The sequence below is a fragment of the Homo sapiens genome, chromosome 4, assembly GCF_000001405.40.
Source record: "Homo sapiens chromosome 4, GRCh38.p14 Primary Assembly".
Classification (NCBI taxonomy): Eukaryota; Metazoa; Chordata; class Mammalia; order Primates; family Hominidae; genus Homo; species Homo sapiens.
This window is the reverse complement of record NC_000004.12, coordinates 31,170,194-31,197,373: the sequence shown is the minus strand read 5'-3', so window position 1 is coordinate 31,197,373 and position 27,180 is coordinate 31,170,194. Positions and strand designations below refer to the sequence as shown.

Below are 27,180 nucleotides of genomic sequence, written 5' to 3'. Positions count from 1 at the left end.
TTACACCTCCATGAAAAAAAAAAGAAAAAAAGTGAAATTTATAACCAATTCAATCAACAGGTATTTATTGATTGGACATCAGCTGGATCCAATGGTAATGGAGGTGTAATTAATTCTAGCAGCATAAGATTCATAATCTCAAACAACTAATAAGCAAAAAAGGTTAAAAAATAATTTAAAATAACAATTTAAGTAATGGCACAATGCATTCTATGGTAAATTGTATTTCATTCTTCTCTTTCTGGAGGCTGTTGGACAAAATCTGTTTCCTTGCTTTTTCTAGCTTCTAGATGCCACCTGCATTCCTTGGCTTAATGGCTTCTTCCTCCATCAGCAAAGCCAGTAGCATAGGATCTTGATATCTTTCTCTGGCCTCCAATGTACTGCCTCTCTGCTCTTACAAGGAGCCATGTGATTACAGTTGGTCTACCCAAAGAATCTACCAATCTCAAGACCCTTAACCTAATTACATCTGCCAAGTTTCTTTTTTCCCTTTTTTTTTTTTTTGCCAAGTAAGTTAACATATTCACAAGCTTCAGGGAGTAAAAAGTGGACCTCTTGTGTGTGTATGTGGGGGTATCTATCATAGCACACTTCTAACCCCCCAATGATTCATATATGTCCTACACACAAAATACATTCACCGCACTTCAGGGTTCCCAAAAGTCTCAATCCATTACAGCTTCAACTCAAAGTCCAAGATCTCATCAGTTCAAAATTTCCAACTCTTACCTACATTATCTAAATTGGATATGAGTGAGGCTGTAGGTATAATTCATCCAGGGGCACAATTCTTCCTCTGCGAACCTGCAACACTCAAGAAATGAGTTTCCTGCTTTCAAAATACAGCAGTGGGACAGGCATATGACACCAGTTATAAACACGGACCTATCTCCATGATGGCTTACTCACATGACCGGCAAGTGGCTCCTGTCAGAAGGAGGCCTTGGTTTCTCACCCTGTGCATTTTTACAGTAGAGCTGCATAACGTGGTAGTTAGTTTCCCCTTAAGTGAGCAATCTAAGCAAAGAGAGCAGAAGCAGCAATTTATTTACTCTTGTCCATATCCTATTAGTCATGTAGCCCAATCTTTTGGTTTATTTGTTTGTTTGTTCGTTTTGGGTTTGTTGTTGTTGTTGTTTGTTTTGAGATGGAGTCTCACTCTGTCACCCAGGCTGGAGTGCAGTGACGCAATCTCCGCTCATTGCAACCTTCATTTCCCAGGTTCAAGCGATTCTCCTTCCTCAGTCTCCCAAGAAGCTGGGATTACAGGCATGTGCCACCATACTCAGCTAATTTTTGTATTTTTTTTAGTAGAGATGGTGTTTCACCATGTTGTCCAGACTGGTCTCGAACTCCTGACCTCAAATGATCCGACCATCTGGGCCTCCCAAAGTGCTGGGATTACAGGCGTGAGCCACTGTGCCAGGCCACATAGCCCAATCTTGATAGTTTTTCAGGGGACTACACAAGGGGGTAAATATCAGGAGGTCATTATCACTGGGGGCCATTTTTGAGATGGCTACCACAGTGAGCAATATAGACCTTACAGAAAAATGTACCAGATGAAAACTCAGTTGTGAAACAAATTCTCACAGGAGATGAGGGGGAACCTCCACTATCTATGAAGGATGTGAATTCAGTATTTTAAAAAAGTATTTTAGGACGGGTGTGGTGGCTCAAGCCTGTAATCGCAGCACTTTGGGAGGCTGAGCTGGGCAGATCACATGAGGTCAGGAGTTCAAGACCACCCTGGCCAACATGATGGAACCCCATCTCTATTAAAAATATAAAAATTAGCCGGGCGTGGTGGCGTGCACCTGTAATCCCAGCTGCTCAGGAGGCTGAGGCAGGAGAATCGTTCTAACAGGCAGGCTTGAACCTGAGAGGTGGAGGTTGCAGTGAGCTGAGATCATGCTGCTGCACTCCAGCCTGGGCAACAGAGACACTGTTTCAAAACAACAACAACAACAAAAAAAAAAAAACAACAAATAAAAAAAAACTCCAAATCTCTCTCTTAAAAATATCCTTAAATTTTCACTGAGAAAAAAGACTGACAATAATTAGGCGGCAGACTTCATGAAAAACAGAATATTATTGACATATAAGTTAATATAGATCTAAACCACTGAAAACATGTTTGCCATACGTAGTACTTGAGACCCTGAAAGAGCATTTATCAACTGTGTGTTTACAAAATTAATCTTACAAAAGTGGGCACAGATTCTAGAGTCATCTCAACACGTTTTTTTAGTGTATTGTTTGCACGGGAATTTAGCCAATGTTTCAAAAATCCCCTTGGCTCTAAATTTATCATTGTGCAATCATAATTGAAAGGAAAATAAGAGTTCATCTAACCTTTCTCTAAGCAGACTTGTTAGGGTCACATTCAAAATGAATGGATAATTGTTTGGATTTCTGTTCCAAATCTTGCCTTTTGCTAGAAGTAACAATGACCCGTGGTGATACCCTAAGGCTAATATTGTTCCTGTATTGTAATAAGCATATTGATTTGTTTGTTTATTTTTTTGTGGAAACATTAAGTAAAAGCAGGTGATACACGCATGGGGTTGGGGCCCAGAATCTGGTTGATTAAATAAAAACTCTTTTACTCTGTTTCCTCTAAAGGCTTATGATCTTATTTTAGCTATGCTTCTTTTTAGAAAATAATAAAAACAATAAAGGACAATTTGGGGCAATAGTCAGAAAGTAAAAACCTCACAGTCACTGGGACATTCATTCAAGAAATAGGTACATAATATTTATTTTACCTAATATAGCGCTGGACATTATACAGGAAATAATACAAAAATAATAGAAAGTCTTTAACCTGAAGGAACTTAACATGAAAGATTCTGATTCTTGTTGGGATTTGGAGATGTCAATTACTCACCCTCTTGCTCTCTAGGTTCCCCATGGCAAATCCTAGGCAAAAAAGAGAAGAGAATGAAAATGTCAACTTTATTAATGGCCACCTAAATGCAGATACCTCAGTAAAGGTGGATTAGAGGACAGAACTGTATGTATAATCAAAATGCAATGGACACGATCTACCACTCTTACAGCCTCCCGTTTTTCTTCCCTCCCCACAATAATTCAACACTAATTTCTCTCGATTTGCCCACAATTAGGCTAAATGTGACAAAACAAATGCTTATCCAATACAACAGGAAAGACCGTTTATCCTTAGGGATTAATATGCATTTTATCTCCCTGTCTGAATGTCTCAAGATAACCTAGTGTTACACAGCAGCTTCTTCTAGTGCGATAGGCCCTGAGCCTCCCTAAATAGTGTTGGAATACACCAGCTACCTGACATCTTCAGTATCTTTCATTAACATATCTCAGCCCCTGAGTCCTGCTAAGGGCCCATGTTGTGTGATTTTTGCAGTCCTAAAATTTACAGCAAAACTCTCAAAGAAATGACTAGGAAGATTTTAGGAGAAGCCCAACACCTTATTCTGTATAACTTCGTTAATTTATATCTACTTAGAGAGAAAAAGAAAATGAATCACTGCACAAGAGCTCCAGAGAAACCTTTAGAGTGTGTATTATAAAGTTGCTTTGAAGCATTGAAAACATGAAATGGGAATGAATTAAACTGATATCATTTCATTTCACTAATGAGCAAATATTTAAACAGCTTTATTTGCCATCTGGATGGCTGCCAATAGGAAAGCTCCTTCAATAAAGAGTTGCTATCCTCTTGCTTATTAAAGCTGTGTTTTTTACATATCTGTCCTCTTTCAGGTTTTTAGTGAAAAATATAAGAATATTAAAATGAAAGGGTCAGGAGTCAAGCAACATTAAAATATTTTAGCTTACATCATAGGCATATGAACTAATTAGATTAGCATATAATTACGGAAGTCTATGTTAACATATAGAAGGAAGCTGATACAGAAAGAAGCAAGCTGAAATATTTTAATAACTTAAAGAACATTATGAAATAACACATTTTTGGTTTTTTTGTGTGTCCTTGTAAGCTACTTGAAATAACACAGTTTTCCACAGTGCCGAAAACTAATAGAGCCAAGCAATCACATGCTTACCTATAGCAAGATTCTCTATGCTTCTGATATAACTATTGCCAATTGTTAACCATAACAGAATTGATGGTAAATACATACATCTCCATACACACGAATCATATTAGTCTGTTCTCATGCTGATAATAAAGACACACCAGAGACTGGGGAATTTATAAAGGAAGAGGGTTAATGGACTCACAGTTCCACATAGCTGGGGAGACCTCACAATTATGGCAGAAGGCAAAGGAGGAGCAAAGTCACGTCTTGCATGGCAGCAGGCAAGAGAGCGTGTTCAGGGGAACTCCCCTTTATAAAACCATCAGATCTCATGAGACTCACTCACTATCATGAGGTCAGCACAGGAAAGACATGCCCTCATGATTCAATTAACTCCCACTGGGTCCCTCCCCCGACACATAGTAATAATGGGAGCTACAATTCAAGATGAGATTTGGGTGGGGACACAGCCAAACCACATCACAAATACACAAGCACAAATACACATCTACTCACACAATAGGATTAATTGGTTTTGGAAATGAGTAGTCTTCTTTCTATATTTGTGATCAATGCCTATGAAAAGAATAGGTGACATGTATACTTAACACTTCCAAAAATAATATTAAGAAGTATTAAAACAAAGTCATGTTCTGTAATCCCAGTGCTGTACCATTCTTTGTCAAATGTAGTTATCACTATAAAGAGCAGTCATATCACTGCTTCCCTGTTAGCACTGGCTAAATATTATTGCTCTGCTATTTCAACAGCAAACTTCAGGCCTTTGGAGCCAGCAGGCTCTCCTCAAGGACTTGCTGATGTGTAGCAAAAATATTTTAGTGTGAAAAAACTACTCCCTAGTGCACTTGTTTGCAAACTGCTGAATTTCTAGATAACTCTAACTATGTTTGAGGACTATTTTTGATAGCGCAAATCTGGTGCTGAAATGCCTCTAAAGAATCAACGCTTCTTTTTCCTTTCTTTTTTTCTTTTTTTTTTTTTTACTATTTTTAGTCACAGCATGACAAACCTAGCAGAAACACAAAGCTGCTTGGGTAGTAATTTTTTATTTTGAACGGTAATTTGTTGTGTTGAACCCAGACCTCTCTGTTTCATGCTTACAAAACACTAAGAAGCAGTCAAGTGAAATGCAAATTAATATGAAACTCAAATACTCTACTTAACAGCTTTCAACTTAGTAGACTCAATTGCCAAATGAATCTAAAGCAAAGCTTTAACACTGCTGTTAATTATGCTTTTCTTGCCAGAAACACTTTTGCCATTACCTAGAAACTGTAAAGAATTGTTTTATTTCATCCCGAAATTTCTGTGTAATTTAATTACTGTTTATTTCTGTTTTACCCTCATCTGCTTTCGTTTGCATAAAATCCAGCAACTAAGCAAATACTTCCCCTAACGATTCTGTTTATATGTACACCAAAAACTGAAGTCCATTTAACTACCACAGTAAAGTCTAGTTAAAGTAAGACTGAAGATTTATTTTTCCATTGTTGTAATTTATATAGATTAAGTGAACTTTTGTGTCCTCTACTATTGAGAATATGCTTTTGCATATCGGATTATATCTATTTATACTAATAAATTTTTAACACACTAGAACTTAAATATGTTTATGCAAGTGAAATTGATATGGACAATTGAGACTGTTACACATTTAGTGTTTACACTATAGACATGCATTAGAAAAGCTTTCACCATTTGTATATGAGGTGCTATATGCCATATTACACTCTGGTATTGGAAGGATGAAAAAGGCATTGTGCTCTCTTTGTGGAACTCAACATCTAGTGATAGGATATATATTAAAACACATAATTATAATAAAAAGTATAAAGTATTATAATTGTTTTTCATAAAATCAATATATTTTGTTGTATCATCAGGCATTTAAGACCCATCCACAATGTGTTTTTTGATTCCTCTGGATAACAGGCCCATATATTTCAGGAGGTTGGTAAATGTACTCAGTACTGTATTTTTTGGTCACATTGGATGGAGCATGAACTGTCTGATTTATCACCATTTCTACCACTCCCAACTGTTACACAAAAGACCAGAGTCTCTCTTGGATCACCAAAATCTTTGAGACCCTGAAGTGGTAGTTTCTCTAGTAAATGACATAAACCCTCATGTTGACTGTCTAAACTAAACCCACTTGGGTTTCTGGCTCAAATATTCAATTACAGTACAATTGTATAACTGACAAATCTCCACTTTACTTTTCAGTACGAGAACACATGTCGTCCTTCATACACTCAAGTGACATTACTGACCCACCATCTGCCTTGAGAATTTTTCCTGGTGGTGACAATAAATTTTCATGGATTCATATACACCTGGTCCCATTTGTGACAAAGAGCATGCATTTTAGAGACAGCTGGCCAAAGTTAGGGGCATGCTGTGTGGGTGTGGAATAGGGCACAGTAAACTGGCCCCACATGGGGACTGAACTTTGGCCTCATTAGTAATATACTGTAATCAATTGGTCTCAATAGTCTCTAACAGCTCTATTGAAAATGAACAATATGCTCAGCCATCCACTGTGAATTTGCTCTTTCTTAAGTGTGTCAGACCAGAGATTCTCTACAAATTTTAAATTTGCTCTTTTGTTCTCTCTCATTTCCAAGGAAAAAAGGGCTTACTGCCTACCTTTTTCTCCACATTTCTCCACTAATGTTTTTTCTTCTTCAGGTTGCTTTTTTTTTTTTTTCTGGATCTTTTCCTATTCTTATCACCCATTTTATGTAGGTGAAGGGGCAATTAGTGGTTATAACCTGAGGTATGTTAATGTCATACAGCTTCAAAGAATGAGCCTTAGGCAGTGAGGGCTGAAAAGAGTAGACTTTGAAGGAGAACTTTTGCTTTCCAAAAAATATTAATACAATTATCTTGCTAAATTAATTTGACCCTCCAGGTAATGTGAGGATAGGGCTGTTGTGGTACGAAATACCAGTGGTTTTCTATTGCAGCATAACCAACTGCAGTTTTAGTCTCATGAACATTCAAAGCTGGAAAAGTCCTCACAGTACATCTAGCCCACTGAAACCCAAAGAAATTAAATATTTTTTTCAACATTCCAAAAGCCAGATAATGCAGAGTTGAGTTTTACATTAGTTAAGGGATACACTGAGCTGCGGTAATAAGGAAACCAAAACAAAATGATTTGAATAAATTTCTCTTTGAGATAACAAAACAGAGGTGTGGTCCAGGGTTGTTTTATAGGTTCTGTCATCTTTAACTTACAGCATTCATTTCTGAGTGAAAAGTAGATTCTCCAGTTGTCACCAACTCCCAGCCAGTGGGACAGGAAAATAAAGAATTGGAAAGTGTATACCAATTGTTATCTGTCACTTCTCACATTTCTTTGGCCAGAAGGTAGTCACATGGTATATGTAGCTCTGTGCAAAAGATTCTGAGAAATGTATTCGCTAATTGGGCACATTTTTTGCCCAGCTCACACTTCAGGGATATCTTTATTATTATTAAACATACATTACTAAAGGGCTAAGAAAGAATGTTAGTTCTTTTATTATTATTAAAAGGACTATTTTATTAAATAGGACTCTGTAAAATGACTAAGAACACAATAGATATGGTTAGATAAGTAGGATTGCTCTAGTAGAATTCTAATATCTTGACTACAATGCTAGGGGTCTTTATAGCAAAATAACTTTACAGTTGATTAACTTATTCTTTTCTTCAAAATTATTATATTATTAATTTCTCATATCAGAACACCATCTTTGTGGTTGCCTTAGATGACCTTACCTCATATCTTCTGTGATCTCTTTACACTATACTTCTGTTTATGTGAGAAAAAGTGGAAAATTTAATGTAAAAACAATTATTTAATGCCATAGTCGATATTTAAGAGTCCAATGCTTTTACCTAACTAGGAAAATTAAATAGAGGTACAGACTCATTGACTTGAGTTTAATCCTTTATTGGATCAAATTACAGTATTATGACATTTGAACCCAGGTGAAGGAATTTCTATATTTATTTCAAAATTAACATATGCCACTAAATGGTATTCAAAAGAACACATGACTTACAAAACAAGTTCTAGTGCTTGGAATATTTGAAACAATTTAATTGCTCAAATAAATATTTGGATAAATGGATGAATACACGAATGAGTGAATCAACATTTCCCAAGAACAATTTTGATATTTTCATAACGGATTAATCTATATAGATTAGGGCTGTGGGCAGTGGCTCACACCTGTAATCCCAGCACTTTGGAAGGCAGAGTTGGGCAGATCACTTGAGGTCAGGAGTTAAAGACTAGCCTGGCCAACATGGTGAAACCCTGTCTCTATGAAAAATACCAAAATAAAATAGCTGGGCGAGGTGGTGCCCACCTATAGTCCCAGCTACTCAGGAAGCTGAGGCAGGAGAATCACTTGAACTCGGGAGGCGATTGCAGTGAGCCGAGATCGCACCACAGCCTTGTCAACAGAGCCAGACTCCACCTAAAAAAAAAAAAAAAGTCTGTATAGATTAAATATTTGTAAACTCCTTGTTAAATTAAATTTATAAATTCCTTGAGAGATGGTTACTGATTGCCTTTTGTCTCCTAGATCATTAAAAATAATTTTGTTTCTTCTTTGACTTTGCATTGAGGGTTCAGTAATGAGAGTAAGTGTGAATCTGCATAAGGTCCAAAGATTGGCTTAGTCTTTTTTGTCCGGCTAGATAAATGCCATCCATTTTTATACCAGAATATTTAAGAGTTAGTAATATAAGTGTCCTTCTAGCACATATCAGTGAAATCCCCCGTGACTTTTGCTGTCTCCATACTCAGGAGTATCAGTGATACTGTATTGTTGTATTTTTCCAAGTCTCCCAAAGCCAAAGCCATTTCTTTTCCCCCTTGTTTTTCCTTTTTCTTGAGTTCCTGTCATCGGTCTCCTTAGCCTTCTAAAACGATATCCCAAAGATTTCCCAATGATAAGCTGTAGCAGCTTTTTAAAGAAGTTTTCCGTTTTCTTTCCTAGTTTTTGGGTACGAGTTAAAAAAAGAAAAAGAAAAAAGCACTACTAGAGACGGTGGGATGTACTGTATTGTTTGTCTGACTATAATGTCTAGTAGTATCTCTTTGTTTCCCTTTCTCTTTGAAAATCTGTGGCCTCCAGCCAGGCCTCTGACCAACCAAGTAGCTGGTACCACACCCTTAGAAACGAGGAAATCTTCCCTTTGTAGGGCTTAACTCTCACTGCCCAGGCATTTCATATCACATGATAGCTTTCCCGTTTCCCATAAATACAATTTACTTTTAGAAGAACTGCATCTAATGTAAAACTGTTGACAACCTTAAGACATTAAATGTAGACATTTCAAAGTACAGAAGTGATTTTTGAAAACATATACCATGTAATCTGGCGGAAGAACTAAGGATACATTAAAATGTATAATAGATTATTTTATTGTAAAACTTCTAAATCTAATAACATAATTCCTTCCTGTCTTTTATAAATGCAATTTTAAGAGCATTTCCAAGATCTGGTTAGAATAAAGTTCCTCTTCATTAATGTTTATTTCTACTAGCTGTAAGCTGGTGACATCAGTACTTCTTTGTTTCTTGATTTTATATCCTAAAGCAAATTTAGACCTATAGAGATGTTTTGCTTTCTATTTTGTTAATTGGCTGCAAATTTCAAGGATTTTAGTGGAGAATAAACTAGAGTGATAACATTTCTATTGATCTGGTCATTGACATATGTTTAAAGCATACAAATGGAAATTAGTTTTATTAGAAAGGCATGCATAAATACATTAGCATTTTTTCACATAAACCAATTTTTCATGGTTCTATGAAATTGCAGTATAAAATTCCTCTGAAGCCAAATTAGCAAAAATAGAACAAATCAAATTTCATTAAATGTAAGGATATATGCATTCTCAAGTTTGCAAAATTAGTGAAACTAATTTTTCAGAAATTAAAACCAAAAAAAGGAGAGCAAAGAAAGAAAAGGCACAGGATACCAGTTGGGAAAAGAAAAAAACCATGAGACCTTCCTTTGAATATTTGAAGAGTTATTCTGTGGAGGGTCTTTTGTTTTGAAGGGCCAAAGAATAGACCTAGGGATCATAGATTAAAATCACTGTGAAACTGATCACATTTTATTATGAAGGCTTTCTATTAATATGAGTCATTGAGCAGGTAATCCACTACCTTATAAGGTTGTAAGGATCCTATTAATGCCAGTGTCCTGAGATGTACCAATGCATTGAGTATTGGACTGAACGAGACCAATTGGTTTAATTTGATGTTTACACTAATACAGTTTGGCTGTGTCCCCACCCAAATTACATCTTGAATTATAGCTCCCAGAATTCCCATGTGTTGTGTGAGAGACCCAGCAGGAGATAATTAAATCACGGGGTTGGGTCTTTCCGGTTCTGTTCTCAGGATAGAGAATAAGTCTCATGAGATCTGATGGTTTTATAAGGGGTAGTTTCCCTGCACAAATTCTCTCTTGTCTGCTGCTGTGTAAGAGGTGCCTTTCGCCTTCCACCATGATCATTAGGTCTCCCCAGCCATGTGGAACTGTGAGTCCATTAAACCTCTTTTTCTTTATAAATTACCCAGTTTCAGGTATGTCTTTATCAGCAGCATGAAACAGACTAATATACACACCAAAATTACACCTGTTATTAATTATGTTTTTTCCCAATTGGCCTGAAATCCTCCTCTTTAGTAATCTCGTAGGGAAAACAAAAACAAAACTAAAGAGAAAAAAAGAAAAGGAATGTTTTTTCCTAGAAGCTTTAAATGAGTATTGTACATATAACCCAGTTGTGCCCTTCTAGGCCTACCCTGTTATCATATTAGTATGTGCTAGATTATCAGAACGCCTTGTTGACATAGATAAAGGAAAGGTGATTTTCAATAAGATTACTGCTGAATACAGCAGCTACCAGTACTGGGAAGTAAGAAGTCCATGGATGAGAATAATGCCGTGGATGGAGGTGTTCATTAATGCTCATTAATAAGGCATACACTGTTTACATTTTGTTCCATCACATTTATTTTAGTCTTAGGTATACTGTTAAAAATATTTAATATCTGCTGTCAGAACTTTTACTATTGTTTCTCCAGTTCTTTCCTGGCTATCTAAAATTAATTTCTCTACTATTTTACTGAAGTGTGGCTCAAGGGTAAACTCTTCCTTGGATTCTTCTATATTACTTATAGACATAAAACTATGTTCACTAGTCCTGGAAAGACTTTGGCTGAATATAAAGTTCTCAGTTCATACTCTTTCTCCTTAAGTGTCACATAGAAATTGCTTCTCTCTTATTTTTGGTTGGATTTTGATGTAGGGAAATAGGCTAGCTTTAACCTTCTCCCTTAAAATTCTTGTTTTGTTAAGTCACTATTGTTGTTGTTTTTGTTTAAGATGTATCTTGATGTTGACCATTCTGTGTCAATTATTCCTCACACGTGGTCTATCCTCACAATATGCTTTTAAAGTTTTGTTTTGTTTTTCTTGAAATACATCATCAGTTTTATCCTCACATATTTTTACACTCTAAGCAAACTATAATTAAATCATATTTTTGTTTTTTAATCTGGGTACTACAGTTGTGCTTATGTTGAACCTCCTTTATCTCCTGTCACTATGTTTTTTCTTCTCGCTCCCTTTGTTACAGCACTTTTTATTTCTTTTCAACCTGTATTACAATTTTTCTTCATGCTCCTCAATCCTTCACTTTATTTTTGTAATGAGTTTGTTTCTTACCTTTCATCGCAACGTTACCACTTTTGTTTCATCTCATCCTATTGAGAGGTGACAGCGTGCTGGCAGCCCTCGCAGCCCTTGCTCACTCTCGGTGCCTCCTTGGCCTTGGCGTCCACTCTGGCCACGCTTGAGGAGCCCTTCAGCCTGCTGCTGCCCTGTGGGAGCCCCTCTCTGGGCTGGCCGAGACTGGAGCCGGCTCCCTCTGCTTGCAGGGAGGTGTGGAGGGAGAGGCGCAGGTGGGAACCCAGGCTGCGCATGGCGCTCACGGGCCAGCATGAATTCCAGGTGGGTGTGGGCTCAGCGGGCCACACACTCAGAGTGGCCAGCCAGCTGGTGCCGCCGGCCCCAGGCAGTGAGGGGCTTAGCACCTGGGCCAGCAGCGGCAGAGGGTGCCCCGGTCCCCCAGCAGTGCCAGCCCGCTGGCGCTGCACTTGAATTCTCGCTGGGCCACAGCTGCCCCACCATGGGGCAGGGCTCGGGACCTGCAGCCCACCATGCCCCAGCCTCCGCCCCGCCGTGGGCTCCTGAACAGCCGGAGGCTCCCCAACGAGTGCCGCCCCCTGCTTCATGGTGCCCAGGCCTGTCGACCACCCAAGGGCTGAGGAGTGCAGGCTCACGGCGCGGGACTGGTGGGCAGCTCCACCTGCAGCCCCGGAGCGGGATCCACTAGGTGAAGCCAGCTGAGCTCCTGAGTCTAGTGGGGACTTGGAGAACCTTTATGTCTAGCTAAGGGATTGTAAATACACCAGTCAGCACTCTGTGTCTATCTCAAGGTTTGTAAACAAATCAATCAGCACCCTGTGTCTAGCTCAAGGTTTGTAAATGCACCAATCAGTGCTCTGTGTCTAGCTAATCTAGTGGGGACTTGGAGAACCTTTATGTCTAGCTAAGGGATCGTAAATACACCAATCAGCACTCTGTGTCTAGCTCAAGGTTTGTAAATGCACCAATCAGTGCTCTGTGTCTAGCTAATCTAGTGGGGACTTGGAGAACTTTTGTGTCTAGCTCAGAGATTGTAAACACACCAATCAGCATCCTGTCAAAACGGACCAATCAGCTCTCTGTAGAATGAACCAATCGGCAGGATGTGGGTGGGGCCAGATAAGGGAATAAAAGCAGGCTGCCAGAGCCAACAGTGGCAACCTGCTGAAGTTCTCTTCCACCATGTGGCACCTTTGTTTTTTCAGGCTTTGCAATAAATCTTGCTGCTGCTCACTCATTGGGTCTGCACTGCCTTTATGAGCTGTAACACTCAGTGCGAAGATCTGCAACTTCACTCCGGAGGCCAGTGAGACCACGAACCCACCAGAAGGAAAAAACTACGAACATATCCAAACATCAGAAGGAACAAACTCCTGACGCACCACCTTCAAGAATTGTAACACTCACATGAGGGTCTGCGGCTTCATTATTGAAGTCAGTGAGACCAAGAACCCACCAATTCTGGACACACTGTTATCTAGCATCACATTCTTGAGATTTTGCATCTTTGCTGCTTGGTTTTTCTTCAAAGAGCTAATTATTATTTTTTTAATTCTTCGTGAAATATTAGTTTGTAATTTTCATTTACTCTCTTAAAACAAATTTTGAGTGAGATGGTGTTGCCTTTTTGATAATTCTACATCCTTTTTTCACTTACTATACCTTTGTGTTGATGCTGTGCTTGCTACTGAGACAGCCAGGTGGGAGGTGGTCCCTGGAGAAACTCCAACCAGCCTGCCCACTGAGGTGGAGCCTTAGGAAGTTCACGTCGCTTGCAGTAGGGAGGAGCCTGGCACCTCTTTTTCTTATGTGTGGAAACTGGGATTCAAGCTGCTGGCAGGAAGTGCTCTAGCGGAGAGACCCTGGTCTCGCAAGAGTCCCTGTTTCCCCCTTTTCTTCCTTTTCACCCAATAAAACCATGTCTCACTCACCATTTAAATTGTCTGCGAGCCTGAATTTTCGTGGCTGTGGAACAAAGAACCCAGTCTTTAGCTGAATAAGTAAAAGTCCTGCAACACTTACTTTTCTTAGTACTCTTCATTAAATGAGTTGTCTTTTCCTTGACTAGCCCTTTTCAGAAGAATCCCATACAGTATATGGAAAAGCTGAACAGCAGGGTCACCTTCCAGACTTCCTGAAACAAAGCTGCTTTTGGTTTGCCAAAGAAACATCTTGCAAATGTTACTTAGTTGTACTGCACAGAGCTCTGCCTCCTCCTTTCCTATTACTTTGTGCCCAGGAAGCCTTTTCCTTCTGATCCTCTTTACCTCAGTTTCCTCCGCTATTATTGTCTACACGACATTTAGTGTTTTCACTTCATGATCATGCCCTCAAATTCAGGAAGTGTGTTTTGCTGGCATATTCTGAGATCTTCATGCTTTCCCCACTCTTCATGTTTTTAATTCACTTTTATTAAATCTTGCTCCACATTTTTGCCCTACTTAGCAGTAGGCTTTATTTTGAAGTCTGTGAATTATATATCTTTTTCTAGTTTTGTTTAATTTTTTTTTTTTTTTTTTTTAAAGATGGAGTTTCATTCTTGTTTCCCAGGCTGGAGTGCAATGGCGCAATCTCGGCTCACCGCAGCATCCCCCTCCCCGGGGCAAGCGATTCTGCTGCCTCAGCCTCCCAAGTAGCTGGGAATGCATGTCCAGCTAATTTTGTGTTTTTAGTAGAGACAGGGTTTATCCATGTTGGTCAGGTTGGTCTGGAACTCCAGATCTCAGGTGATCCGCCTACCTCAGCCACCTCAGCCTCCCAAAGTGCTAGGATTACAGGTGTGAGCCACCGCGCCCAACCAAATGATTTTTTTTTTTTTTAATTCCTAGAAGGAAAGGGGATAGATAACCATTTACACAGCTTTGCTCTTTTAGGAAGTCCCTGTATTGTTATTTTCATTTGAAAAACAAATAGTTGACTATAGGAGATTGGGAAAAGTGAGAAACGAGTTTTGTCTATTGAGTCTGATTTTCTCAACATGGTATTAAGCAATGATCCAGGTATCAAATTATACTCTTTTTTCAACTTGCCTTATGATCAGGTATAGAGAGACATTGTTCTCAAGGATTTAAAATTTTATTTGAAAGGAAGACTATTAAAAAATAGCCATGATATTTTTTAAACAATATTTCTTTACCATTAAAAAAAAGACAAATGCTACAAAAGCCAAATTTTAGCAAGTTTAAGTGTTTACAATGTAGTTTGACAACTCATACAATTTGAGGTTAAATTTCAACAAGACCATCCCTTCTTTTTTCCTGTTTCACTAATTGCACCTGCAATCAGCCAATAGCTTGCTCAAGAGGTTAATTACTTGCACCTGCATTTTTGCACCTGTAATTTTGGTGACCTTTTGAAAGTAATATGCATGCTTCTATTCACATATCTAAATTGCTAAGCTAACCAAATCATAGATCTCATCTAAAATGTTCAATTTTTTTGTTAGTGTTTTCGAGGTGAATTTGGAAATAAGCAAAAGAGTTGACAATGTTTTAATTTTAAAAAGTCGAGTTCATTGTATGGTAAAGTGAACAACTGATGACATTTTTCAAAGGAACAATCCATACAAATAAACAAAAATGAAACTTAAAGATCATTTTAAAGTGTTAGACATAATACACATATTATATGAAAATGAATGCTATTTCAAAAAACAATAGGATATCTCTCTAATCTTATAAATGATGTCTGCTTTTGTCTTGACGTGTCTCATGGAAGATTCAAAGGTTATATTTAAAAGCTGTTCTTTATACAGCCTGAAACGTCACCTCTGTAGAAGAGAAGAATAATTGGGGCTCCTGGACCCTTAAGATTTTTATCTTTTGTTAAGTGATGTCTAAGTTCAGGTCCCGGTAATTTGAAATGAAGTCAAACAGACAAACCACTTAACCTGAGATGAAAATTAATGGTTGGAAATAAATTAACTCCCTAAATATTTAATTACTTATAGACATAAAAGTCAGTGGCAAGGACCAAAGGTAATCTTTTGACACATTACTGCTCAGCAGGATATTTCTGACTGAAATATTTGATTTTTTTTTTTTTTGAGACGAAGTGTCTCTCTGTCGCCTAGTCTGGAGTGCAGTGGCGCGATCTCGGCTCACTGCAACCTCCGCCTCCCGGGTTCAAGCAACTGTCTGCCTCAGCCTCCTGAGTAGCTGGGATTACAGAAGCCCGCCACCACACCCAGCTAATTTTTTCATATTTTTAGTAGAGACGGGGTTTCACCATGTTGGCCAGGCTGGACTCAAACTCCCGACCTTGTGATCCACCTGCCTCGGCCTCCCAAAGGGCTAGGACTACAGGCATGAGCCACCACACCTGGCCGAAATCTTTGATTTTTAGGAGATATTAATAGGAAAGTAAATTTTAAAAAATTGTAAGTTAAATGACAACCCTAGTTTGTTCTGATAATATTTGAATCTATGGTCTGTGTTCTGTCTCAAATATGTTTTTTAAGTGTTCTTTCATGCATACTGAAATCCCACCAGCACAGAACTAAGAAAAATATTAGCTTGTTGAGACCTTGAAAACTTTAGAAGCAATAAAGCCACCAAAACTGACCAAATGTGTTGCCAACTGGGAGTCCACACAGATTTGCTTGTACATTTCCTGTGTCTATTATTCTCATTCATAATGTTGAGTGTGCAAAGGGGAGAGGGAAGATTATTACAAGTGGTTCTATCCTGTTTCTGGATTTGCCAGGTCTATGACCCCTGACCAAGAATTGTGTTGCTGAATTACACTTAGGTAATATGCTGTTGCCCAAATTAAAGGACCTCATAAGAAATTGCTGATGAAAGATGGGGCAATTATTTAGTGAAACCGTGTTTCACTGGGTTAGACCTTATTCTTTTTATCAGCACCCACAAGGAATGTGCTTCTGGACTTTTGCAGAGTAGTTATGTTTCCTTTGAGCCGGTAGTTCATTTTTGTATTAGAGATATTATGAACATCTAGACTTGATCTATTTTCTTCTTCCTGTCAGTTGACAAGAAGCTTAAAGCAACATCATGATCAACCATCAAGAAGAGATTAGCATACTGACATGCATTTTATGTATTCTTCATTTTATTCCCCTGCTTACATTTTCTCTTTGCTCTTCATTTTCCTTATTTATTTGTGGGATGTGGAATGATATAACAATTACCTCAAAAAATCAGATATGTACTGAAAGCTGATCAAAGAAGCATTAACTGTGATTTATTAGTATTCTAACATTTTAGAAACAAATAAACAAATAAGAAGCTGGTATGAAGAAAGATGACTGTTTTCTTGTGAATCTCCTGCTTTTTCCTGGAGAATAAAATATGTGTGTGTGTGTGTGTGTGTGTGTGTGTGTATGTAAACTTATGTGGCAGTCACAATGGTTACTAAAATACCACTCTCCTGCTAACAGGATCTTAATTTTCTTAAGCCATCAAGCAGTAGTTATTTTATCTTACAGAAAGTGGGCCTAAACCTCTTCATTTAGGAAGTGGTCATTATCTATTTCTCCTGAAAGTGATAAAGAAGAAATCTGCTTAGAGTTTTTGTGGAAAGATAATTTTACAAAGAGGAAACCTGCATGAGAAGCTCTCTTACTGCTTGTAGCTTATATCCCTGTCTTAGAAGGAGGTCTTGTTATCTGGAGCTGTGGCAGCCTTCTTGTAAGCAAGAGGCAGCAAACCTAACCTAAAAGGCCAAAATGGGATCAGAGGATTGTGGAGTAGAAAGATGGAACCATCCTGGGATCTTTATGCTGCTGCTGAATAGCTGAACCATTATTTTCAATATTTCACCTCCAAACTAATTGTTGCATGGAAGAAAAAATATTTTTCATGGTACTTTTAATGGCAAAAGCCACAATTACATGTGCACCAATCTAATATTTTTTAATGTTACTTACAATTGAATGTGATCAATGATATAATCTTAAAAGACAAGGATTAGGAATATTTGCAAGCCTAGCCATTTTTTCTTAGTGATTTATCAAAGAACAAAGGATGAGCTCTTCTATAGTCACAATACTAAAGTTTATTATCTTTTCCTGTATAATAAGTAGTCTGACAACTTCCTTTCTCTGCCTGTATTGATAGCTGTCAAAATAGTATTACCAGAAAAATCTTACCCATGAGTATTTTTACTTTTCTAATTTTTTAATTTTTAATCTTACGAATAAGACATAATTTTAAAAAATTATTTTCAGCAGTTAATAATATATTGGCTACCTTTCCAAAACTGATATTTTGGATGCAGATATCTCTTGTATTTTTGAGGCAGGCTTATTCAAATTACATTTTAAAAAAATACAATGAGGGACCATTTTGCCTTTAACACATAGTATACTTTAATGTGTCAAAAGAAAAACCTGGTGCTTACTTCAGTAATTTTGGATTCCAATGGGACAATATGTACAGAAATAAGAAAAAAACCCACAGAGAATTTCAGAACCTCTCAGAAATCAAAATTAATGTACATTTATGAATGCCAGTAATATAACAAATAGCGAAAGCTATTTGTAAAAAGAGTATTAAAAATGCAGAACTATGAACAATAATATGACATTAAAGAAACAGAAAAATATCAGAGAAGTAATAGTGTATAGATAATATTTAGAAAACATCTACAGTTTGCCTGATATGATGTCAAAAACCTTTCATATAGGGTTTTATGTAAGTCTTCCAACCAGCCTACCAACTGGATTATATTCTCTCCATTTTACAAGTGAGAAAACTGAGCCCTGGGGAGATTAGTTATTTACGGTTACACAGCTAACAATTGAAGCCAGAATTGATTCACATCTTAAGTATAATTTTAAAGCCTATACTTCAACAACTATATGATAATGTCTTTTAGTAAATATATTAATAAAACAGCATATATTCCTATACAGATCGCAACCGCATTTTATCTAGCATACATTTATATATTCATCTATGTCCAAAACTCTATTCTTTGAAATGCTTCAGAGATTTTAGAACTAAAGTCAAAGGTTACAATTTGAGTATTCTTGTAATGCAAAATGTTGTCATTATACATATTAGCCAAACTGTTTTCAGCAAGTAACCATTTTCATTTCTATTTCTCAATTAGTGTTAATCACACTGGTTATGTTGTTTACAGTATACAAGAAATAACAAGAAGAACCAGTTGAGATTGAAACAGCCAAAACAAGACTCACATTAGATACAAATACCTGAATTGTAAATAATTTGAATCAGATCATACACTGAATAAAGAGAAAACTTATTTAGATATCCAAGAACTAGCAGAATTTTCAGTTAAAATGGTGTAGTATGGTATTTATCTCTTGATATTTACGCTTTGATGTTATTTCTTCCCTTAATGTATCTTTGCATTATTCTGAAAGAATGTACCAATCTAAGAAAATGATATGATTTTTGTCTAACAGATATTCAGGTTGATTTCTACCAGCAATACTGTCTGTCTGTTCTGGGATGTAATGCAGGATAATGAACACCACACGTCTAACCTTCAGCGGCCAAAGGGGTGACTCTCTACCAGTGTTTGGTAGCAAAAGGCAAAAGGCAACTGAGAAAAATTTTAGAGCCTAAGGGAAACATATGCCCCTACATACACTTATCAAAATGTCCTTCCATGTTTAGAGTCAAGTGGAAGAAATTAATAAAATTTCTAGGCCAGGGGCAGTGGCTCAAGCCTGTAATCCCAGCACTTTGGGAGGCCAAGGTGGGCAGATCACGAGGTCAGTAGATCGAGACCATCCTGGCTAACACGGTGAAACCCCGTCTCTACTAAAAATACAAAAAATTAGCCAGGCGCGGTGGCAGGCACCTGTTGTCCCAGCTACTCGGGAGGCTGAGGCAGGAGAATGGCGTGAATCCAGAAGGCGGAGCTTGCAGTGAGTGAGCCAAGATCGCACCACTGCACTCAAGCCTGGGCGACAGAGCAAGACTCCTTCTCAAAATAAATAAATAAATAAAAATAAAAATAAACAACTCTACATTCAAAAAATGTGACTATATATTAAAGCTCACATTGTTCAATTTGTTCCCACATCATTTTCAACCCTTATGAACCCACCCGGCAAGGATACAACATATATGCAGCCCAGGACTTCAGGCTGATTATAAAGGACTGTTTCCTTGCACAATAGCACGGGTTGGCAAAGCAAACAAAAAAGACAACAGCTTGTCTTGTAAAATTTGGTGTTTTGCACTTCATATTTTGCACTGATTTTGATTTGCTTAATATATTGCTTTAAAATATTATTTATCTTAATTACTGAATGTTTTGGCCCCTTAAACTTTGCACCTGAGGTAAGCACCCCACTTTCACCAACAAAATCCCAGTCCTAATCTCTATGATCTATTTTAATTTTATATGCCAACAGTCATAGTACAGTCAGGCATGACCAAAGAACATTCTCTGTAATAAAGACCCTTGAGGACACATTGTGGTATGTCTTTTGGAGAGGTGAAGAAAAAAAAAAAATCAATAAAAATAAATAAATAAAAAGGAGTCATATCAAGCAATTTCCTAAACCAAGGGTTTTCTTAGAAAATGGAATAATAAGGCCAGGCGTGGTGGCTCACACCTGTAATCCCAGCACTTTGGAAGGCTGAGGCGGGCGGATCATGAGGTCAGGAGATCGAGACCATCCTGCCTAACACAGTGAAACCCTGTCTCTACTAAAAGTACAAAAAAAGTTAGCTGGGCTTGGTGGTGGGTGCCTCTAGTCCCAGCTACTTGGGAGGCTGAGGCAGGAGAATCGCTTGACCTGGGAAGCCGAGGTTGCAGTGAGCCAAGATCGTGCCACTGCACTCCAGCCTCGGTGACAGATTGAGACCCTGTCTCAAAAAAAAAAAAAAAAAAAAAGAAAGAAAGGAAATAGAATAATATGGGGAGAGAGAAGATAATTGCCTTACCTAGCTTCATGAGCTTAGAAACAGCATACAGGTGGAGGTGAAAAGCCATTTCATGCTTCTTCTTCTGTAAGAAGCTAAGATGTTTTCTAAAAGTAAAAGTAAAAGTAAAGAAGATTTGACTACTAGAGAGTAAAGATTAAAAAATTGTATGAAAATGATCATATCCAAATATGTGTTTTCTTTTCCAAAGTGGTCATCATATTTATTTACTAATTCCAATGAAGTTCTGATAAATATTTTGGAATTAATTCCTTTGACTCACTCTCAGAGCTAGATGATGAGCCCTAGGAGGGAAGCAGTCTTCTTACGTTAGAGACAGAGCATATTTTGTCTGAAATACTTTTGCCAATTTAAGTGCCTATCACTTACATGAAATTAATTTGGCCTATTGCTAGAAACCAAGTCTACTTGCTAAGGATGGCCATATGCCAAAATTAATTGAATTTCAACAATTTGGGCAAGCTTCAAAGATATTGCAAAAGTAGAAATTAGAGAAAAACTGAATATATGATTTTTGAAATAAATGAATAGAAGCCAAATTTTCAGAAACTAGTTCACATTTGTCTATAAATGCACTAACAAGTTTGACAAAAACTAAGTTGAATTATTTTATCTTTATACCTCATAAGTGATCTGCAGTTAATGCCCTCCTACGAGCTACAGATTGGTAATTATGCTGGTTTTCTATAGAAAGATTATAAAGTAAACCAATAAAAAAACAAAAACATAAATATATATATATGTAGTCACATCTGGTCAATAATAATTCTCAAACATTTCTTCTCAGTAAGTTCAAATCAGCATGCAGGTAAAAGGTGTATCTTCCATCATTAGAACATACTATGGTTTCATTAAGTTGAGCACCAGGCAGAGTAGTTGGATTGTACCTGGGGCCACATTGTCAAAAATACATATTCCTAAATACAATCATGTACGTACATTCTGAGAAATGTGTTCTTAGGCAATTTTGTCATTGTGCAAACATGATAACGTGTACTACATAAACCTTGATGGTATAGCCTACTACACACCTAGGCTATATGATAAAGACTATTGCTCCTGGGCTACAAATCAGTATAGCAAGTTACTATGCTGAACACTGTAGTCAATGTGACAGAATTTGTGTATCTAAACATTTCTAGACATAGAAAAGGTACAATAAAAACATGATGGAAAAGATTTAAAAAAGTACCCCTGCATAGGGCACTTACCATGAATGGGGCTTGCAGGACAGGAAGTTGCTCTGGGTGAGTCAGTAGGTGAGTGGCGGTTGAGTGTGAAGGCCTAGGCCATTACTGTACATTACTGTGGACTTTATAAACACTGCACTCTTAGGCTACACTAAATTTATTTTAAAATATTTTTCTTGGCTGAGTGTGGTAAGATTACACCTGTAATTTCAGCACTTTGGGAGGCCGAGGCAGGCAGATCACTTGAGGTCAGGAGTTCAAGGCCGGCCTGGCCAACATGGTGAAACCCCATCTGTACCAAGAGTACAAAAAATTAGCTGGGTGTGGTGGTGTGCATCTGTAGTCCCAGCTACTCAGGAGGCTGAGGCCGGAGAATTGTTTGAACCCTGGAGGTGGAGGTGGCAGTGAGCCAAAGTCACACCACTTAAATGGATCAAGGACTTAAATGTCCCCACTCCAGCCTGGGGGACAGAGAAAGGCTCCATCTCAAAATATATATATATATATGTTTTTTCTTTATTCGATAATAATCTGCTTATTGTAACTTTTTTACTTCCTAAACTTTTTACTTTAAAACTTTTTGAATCTGTTGTAATAACACAGCTTAAAAAAGAACAAAGCTAGAGACATCATGCTACTTGACTTTATACTGCAGGGCTACAGTAACCAAAACGGCATGGTACTGGTACAAGAACAGACACATAGACCAATGGAACAGAATGGAGATCTCAGAAATAAGACCACACACCTACAACCAACTGATCTTTGACAAACCTGACAAAAACCAGCAATAGGGAACAAATTCTCTATTTAGCAAATGGTGCTGGGAGAACTGGCCAGCCATATGCAGAAAATTCAAACTGGACCCCTTCCATACACCATATACAAAACTCAAGATGGATCAAGGACTTAAATGTAAAACCCAAAACTATGAAAACCCTAGAAGAAAATCTAGGCAATACCATTCAGGACATAGGCATAGGCAAAGATTTCATGATGAAGATGCCAAAAGCCATCGCAACAAAAGCAAAAATTGACAGATGGGATCTAATTAAACTAAAGAGCTTCTGCACAGCAAAAGAAACTACTAACAGAGTAAACAGACCACCTACAGAATAAGAGAACATTTTTGCCATCTATGCATCTGACAAAGGTCTAATATCCAGCATCTATAAGGAGCTTAATAAGATTTACAAAAGCAAAACAACCCCATTAAAACTGGGCAAAGGACATGAACAGACACTTCTCAAAAGAAGACATACATGTGGCCAATAAACATCACTGAGCATTTGAGAAATGCAAATCAAAACCACAATGAAATATCATCTCACCCCAGTTAGAATGGGTGTTATTAAAAAAATCAGAAAACAACAGATTCTGGTGAAGTTGTAAAGAAAAAAATATGCTCTTACACTGTTCATAAAGTGTAAATTAGTTCAACCATTGTGGAAAACAGTGTGGCAATTCCTCAAAGATCTAGAGGCAGAAACACCATTTGACCCAGCAATCCCATTGCTGGGTATATATCCAAAGAAATGGAAATCTTTTTATTATAAAGACACAGGCATGTGTATATTCATTTCAGGACTATCCACAGTAGCAAAGACATGGACTCAACCCAAATGCCCACCAATGATTGACTGGATAAAGAAAATATAGTACATACACACAATAGAATACTATGCAGCCATAGAAAGGAACAAGAGCATGCCCTTTGCAGGGACATGGATGGAGCTGGAGGCCATTTTCCATATCAAACTAACACAGGAACAGAAAACCAAATACCACATGTTCTCACTTATAAGTGGGAGCAAAATGGTGAGAACATATGCACATATGGTGGGGGAGCAACACACAGTGGGGCCTTTCACAGAGTGGAGAGTGAGAGGAGGGGGAGGATTAGAAAGAATAGCTAGTGGATGCTGGGCTTAATACCTGGCTGATGAGGTGATCTGTGCAGCAAACCATCATGGCAAACATTTACCTATGTACAAACCTGCACATCCTGCACATGTGTTCCTGAACTTAAAATAAAAGTTGGAAGTAGAAAAGAAAAGAAAAAGAAAGTGAAAGCCAGCTCTGGGAACAGAAACAAACAAAAAATAACACTTAGCTTAAAACACAAACACATTGTACATTTGTACAAAAACTATTTTCCTTCTTCATATCCTTATTCTATAAGCTTTTTCTATATTTAAATTTTTAAATTTATTTTTTACTTAGTAAACTTTTTTGCTAAAAGCTAGGACACAAACACAAACAAAAACACCTAGGTTTTTGCTAAAACCTAGGCCCACACAGGGTCAGGATCATAAGTATCACTGTCTTCCACCTCCACATCTTGTCCCACTGAGAGGTCTTCATGGGCAGTAACACTCATGGAGCTGTCATCTCCTAAGATAACAATGCTTACTTCTGAAATACTTTCTGAAGGACCTGCCTGAGGCTGTTTTACAGTTAACTTTTTTTTTTTATAAGTAAAAGGAGTACACTCTAAAAAAGTATAGTATAGTAAATACATAAACCAATAATGTTAGATAGTTGTTCATTACCATTATTAAGTGTATGTACTACCTATAACTGTATGCACGATATTTTTAAAAGACTGGCAGGATTGACCTGGCATGGTGGCTCATGCCTGTAATCCCAGCATTTTTGAGGCCGAGGCGGGCAGATCACCTGAGGTCAGGAGTTCAAGACCAGCCTGGCAAGGAGATGAAACCCCATCTCTACAAAAATACAAAAATTAACCAGGCATGGTGGCAGCTGCCTGTAATCCCAGCTACTCGGGAGGCTGAGGCAGAAGAATTGCTCAAACCCGGTAGGCACAGATTGCAGTAAGCCAAGATGGTGCCATTGCACTCCAGCCTGGGCAACAGAGCGAGACTCTGTCTCATTAAAAAAAAAAAGACTGGCAGCATAGTGGGTTTATTTATACCAGTATCACCATATACATGTCTGTAATGTGTTCTGCTATGATCTTAGAACAGCTGTGACATCACCAGGTGACAGAAATTTTTCAGCTCCGATATAATCTTATGGGACTACTGTCATATACAAAATGTAGTTATGTGATGTATGACTGTACTAGAAACCACTGAATATAGTGATCAGTTCACACTGTGGGACATACGTAGGAACTAAAGCCAAGTAATGGAAAAGTAACTTTATATGCTAGTTTCATGCTAATTCTGGAACTTTTTTTTTTTGAGTGAAATATTGAATAAAGTAAGCTGCACCATTTAAAAGGTATTTTCTGCCCCTCCTGTATATGCATGTGTGTGAGAGGAGCGTTATTTCGTAATTTAATTATTATAAGTAAAAGGCAACTATAATGCAACTACAATGCAACTTCACTATAATTAATTGAAGAGTGATGTCTTATTTGATAATTACATGAGAATTTATTCCTTTGATATGAAGCAAAATGTTCATCTCTCTGTGTGTTAACTAGGTGTTCTATGTGCGGTGCTAAAAGAAGAAAAATAAGGTTTAAGCTAGAATTTGTCGCATGTATTAGAAAACCTGAATTAAAACCCTTGGTCTACAGCTCTTTACTGGAGTGACTCAGTAATTATATAACATTATAAAGTTTTGCTTACTCATCTGAAAAATAAAGGTAAAACAGTAAGAATTAAGTGAAACTGTACACACGTATACACACAAAAAGAGAGAGAGAGGTTTAGCATTCCAAATCCCAAAATACGAAATCTGAAATGTTCTAAAATCTGAAACTGTTTGAGCACTAACAGGACACTCAGGGGAAATGCTCATTGGAGTATTTCAGATTTCAGGTTTTGGATTTGGGGTGCTTAATTAGTAAATACATAATGCAAATATCCCACAATCCAAGAAAATCCAAAATCAGAAATACGCTAGTCCCATTCATATCAATATCGGATCCGTGTGTGGGTGGGTGGAGGGGGTGGGTGTGTGTGTGTGTGGGGGTGGATGTGTGGGTGTTGGGGATGTGTGTGTGTGGGTGGATGGGTGTGTGTGTAGGGGTGTGTGTGGCTCGCTGTTTGTATGTGTATTTTTAAAGTATTACAATTGCTATTTTTGTTTAAAATAAATATGAATTCAGTACACTAATTTGAATTTATAAATATATATATTACACAATGTTTGAAAGTGATCTACAAGTAATTCACTGTAGCATAATAAAGGCACACACACACACACACACACATATATATATATATATATAAAATTTTTACCTGAAAAACTTCATTGGATATATGGAATTCACCTTCACTGTGGGTAGCATATAATCACAGGTTTACTGACTAACATCAAATCACAAAATGAAATCAGGAAATGTAGCCCATGCTTCGTATTACCAAATTAATTTTTCCATGGTGTTTTTATTCACTTTTTCTCCCATTCTTTCTTTCCACACATATATCTGCGTGTGTAATATTTTTTTAAACTGAATCCAGAACCGAAATCAATGACGTATTAGTAAACAGTGATTCTTTCAATGGTAAGCAGACCTGTACCTTCTAAAAGTTCCAGATCTGACTTCTTAAGCAATTGTGGCAGCATCACTTATATGTAACAATAAAGAAAGTATCATAATTACTCAAGGTTCGGAATCATTGCCAGCGTATTAATCAATGGGCTCTACTTAGCTGCGTGGGAGAAAAGGAAGATATTGATGACAGGACGTCTACCTTCAGTTGCTTTTATTACATCTGTTATGAAAGAGGCCCTTTCTAACCTTCACTTATTCATCTTCTAATGGCATAAGAGTCTTTACTTGCAACTCCAAATACCTAGAATGGCTCCTCTGTTCTGATCAAGCTCTGACCTCTTGAACTTGTCCCCAGTAATCAAATGGGTACCTAAGGCCCTGGCAGATGGTTCAGGCTGAACTACTTAAAGTTCCTTTCTTTGGAATTTAGAATTAAAAATAAGAGGTTCCAGTCTCAGCTGGGGTTAGTTTCTTGAGCTGGAGGCATGTAAAAAGCACATGATGAGCCCCGTGGCTCCGTATGAACTGGAGAGCAGGGAAAGCTGGTTTGCAGGGAGACAAGGAAGCAGATGCCCAGGAAGACACAAAGAAAAGAGAAGGGCGGGGATGAGGCACAAATGGGGAAGGGGAAAGAACAGAGAGAGAGAGAGAGAGAGAGAGAGAGAGAGAGAGAAAGAGAGAGAAAGAGATTTCCAAATTCTGTAAGGCTCCCAATTTCCTGTTGCAATACCTGCCTTCCCTTGATTTCCAAAAAAACACATCTGTGTCCTTGGGACAAATTCTTTTGTAGCTTAATCTAGCACATGCTGGTGTTTACTATTTGCAACAAAAATGTTCTCATTTATGCAA

The 27,180-nt window shown here is 37.7% G+C and overlaps 1 long non-coding RNA gene across 1 annotated transcript in view; it reads right to left on the bottom strand.

The window, feature by feature from the left end:
* Positions 1-26,230, bottom strand: part of LINC02497 (long intergenic non-protein coding RNA 2497) — a 40,532-nt gene extending 14,302 nt beyond the window's left edge. Inside the window, exons 1-4 of the long non-coding RNA NR_125935.1 lie at positions 26,075-26,230; positions 20,668-20,753; positions 2,894-2,925; positions 913-1,020 (exon numbers count right to left, since the gene is read on the bottom strand). This is a non-coding gene — a long non-coding RNA (long intergenic non-protein coding RNA 2497). The remainder of the gene's footprint in view (positions 1-912; positions 1,021-2,893; positions 2,926-20,667; positions 20,754-26,074) is intronic.
* Positions 26,231-27,180: the final 950 nt, after the last annotated feature.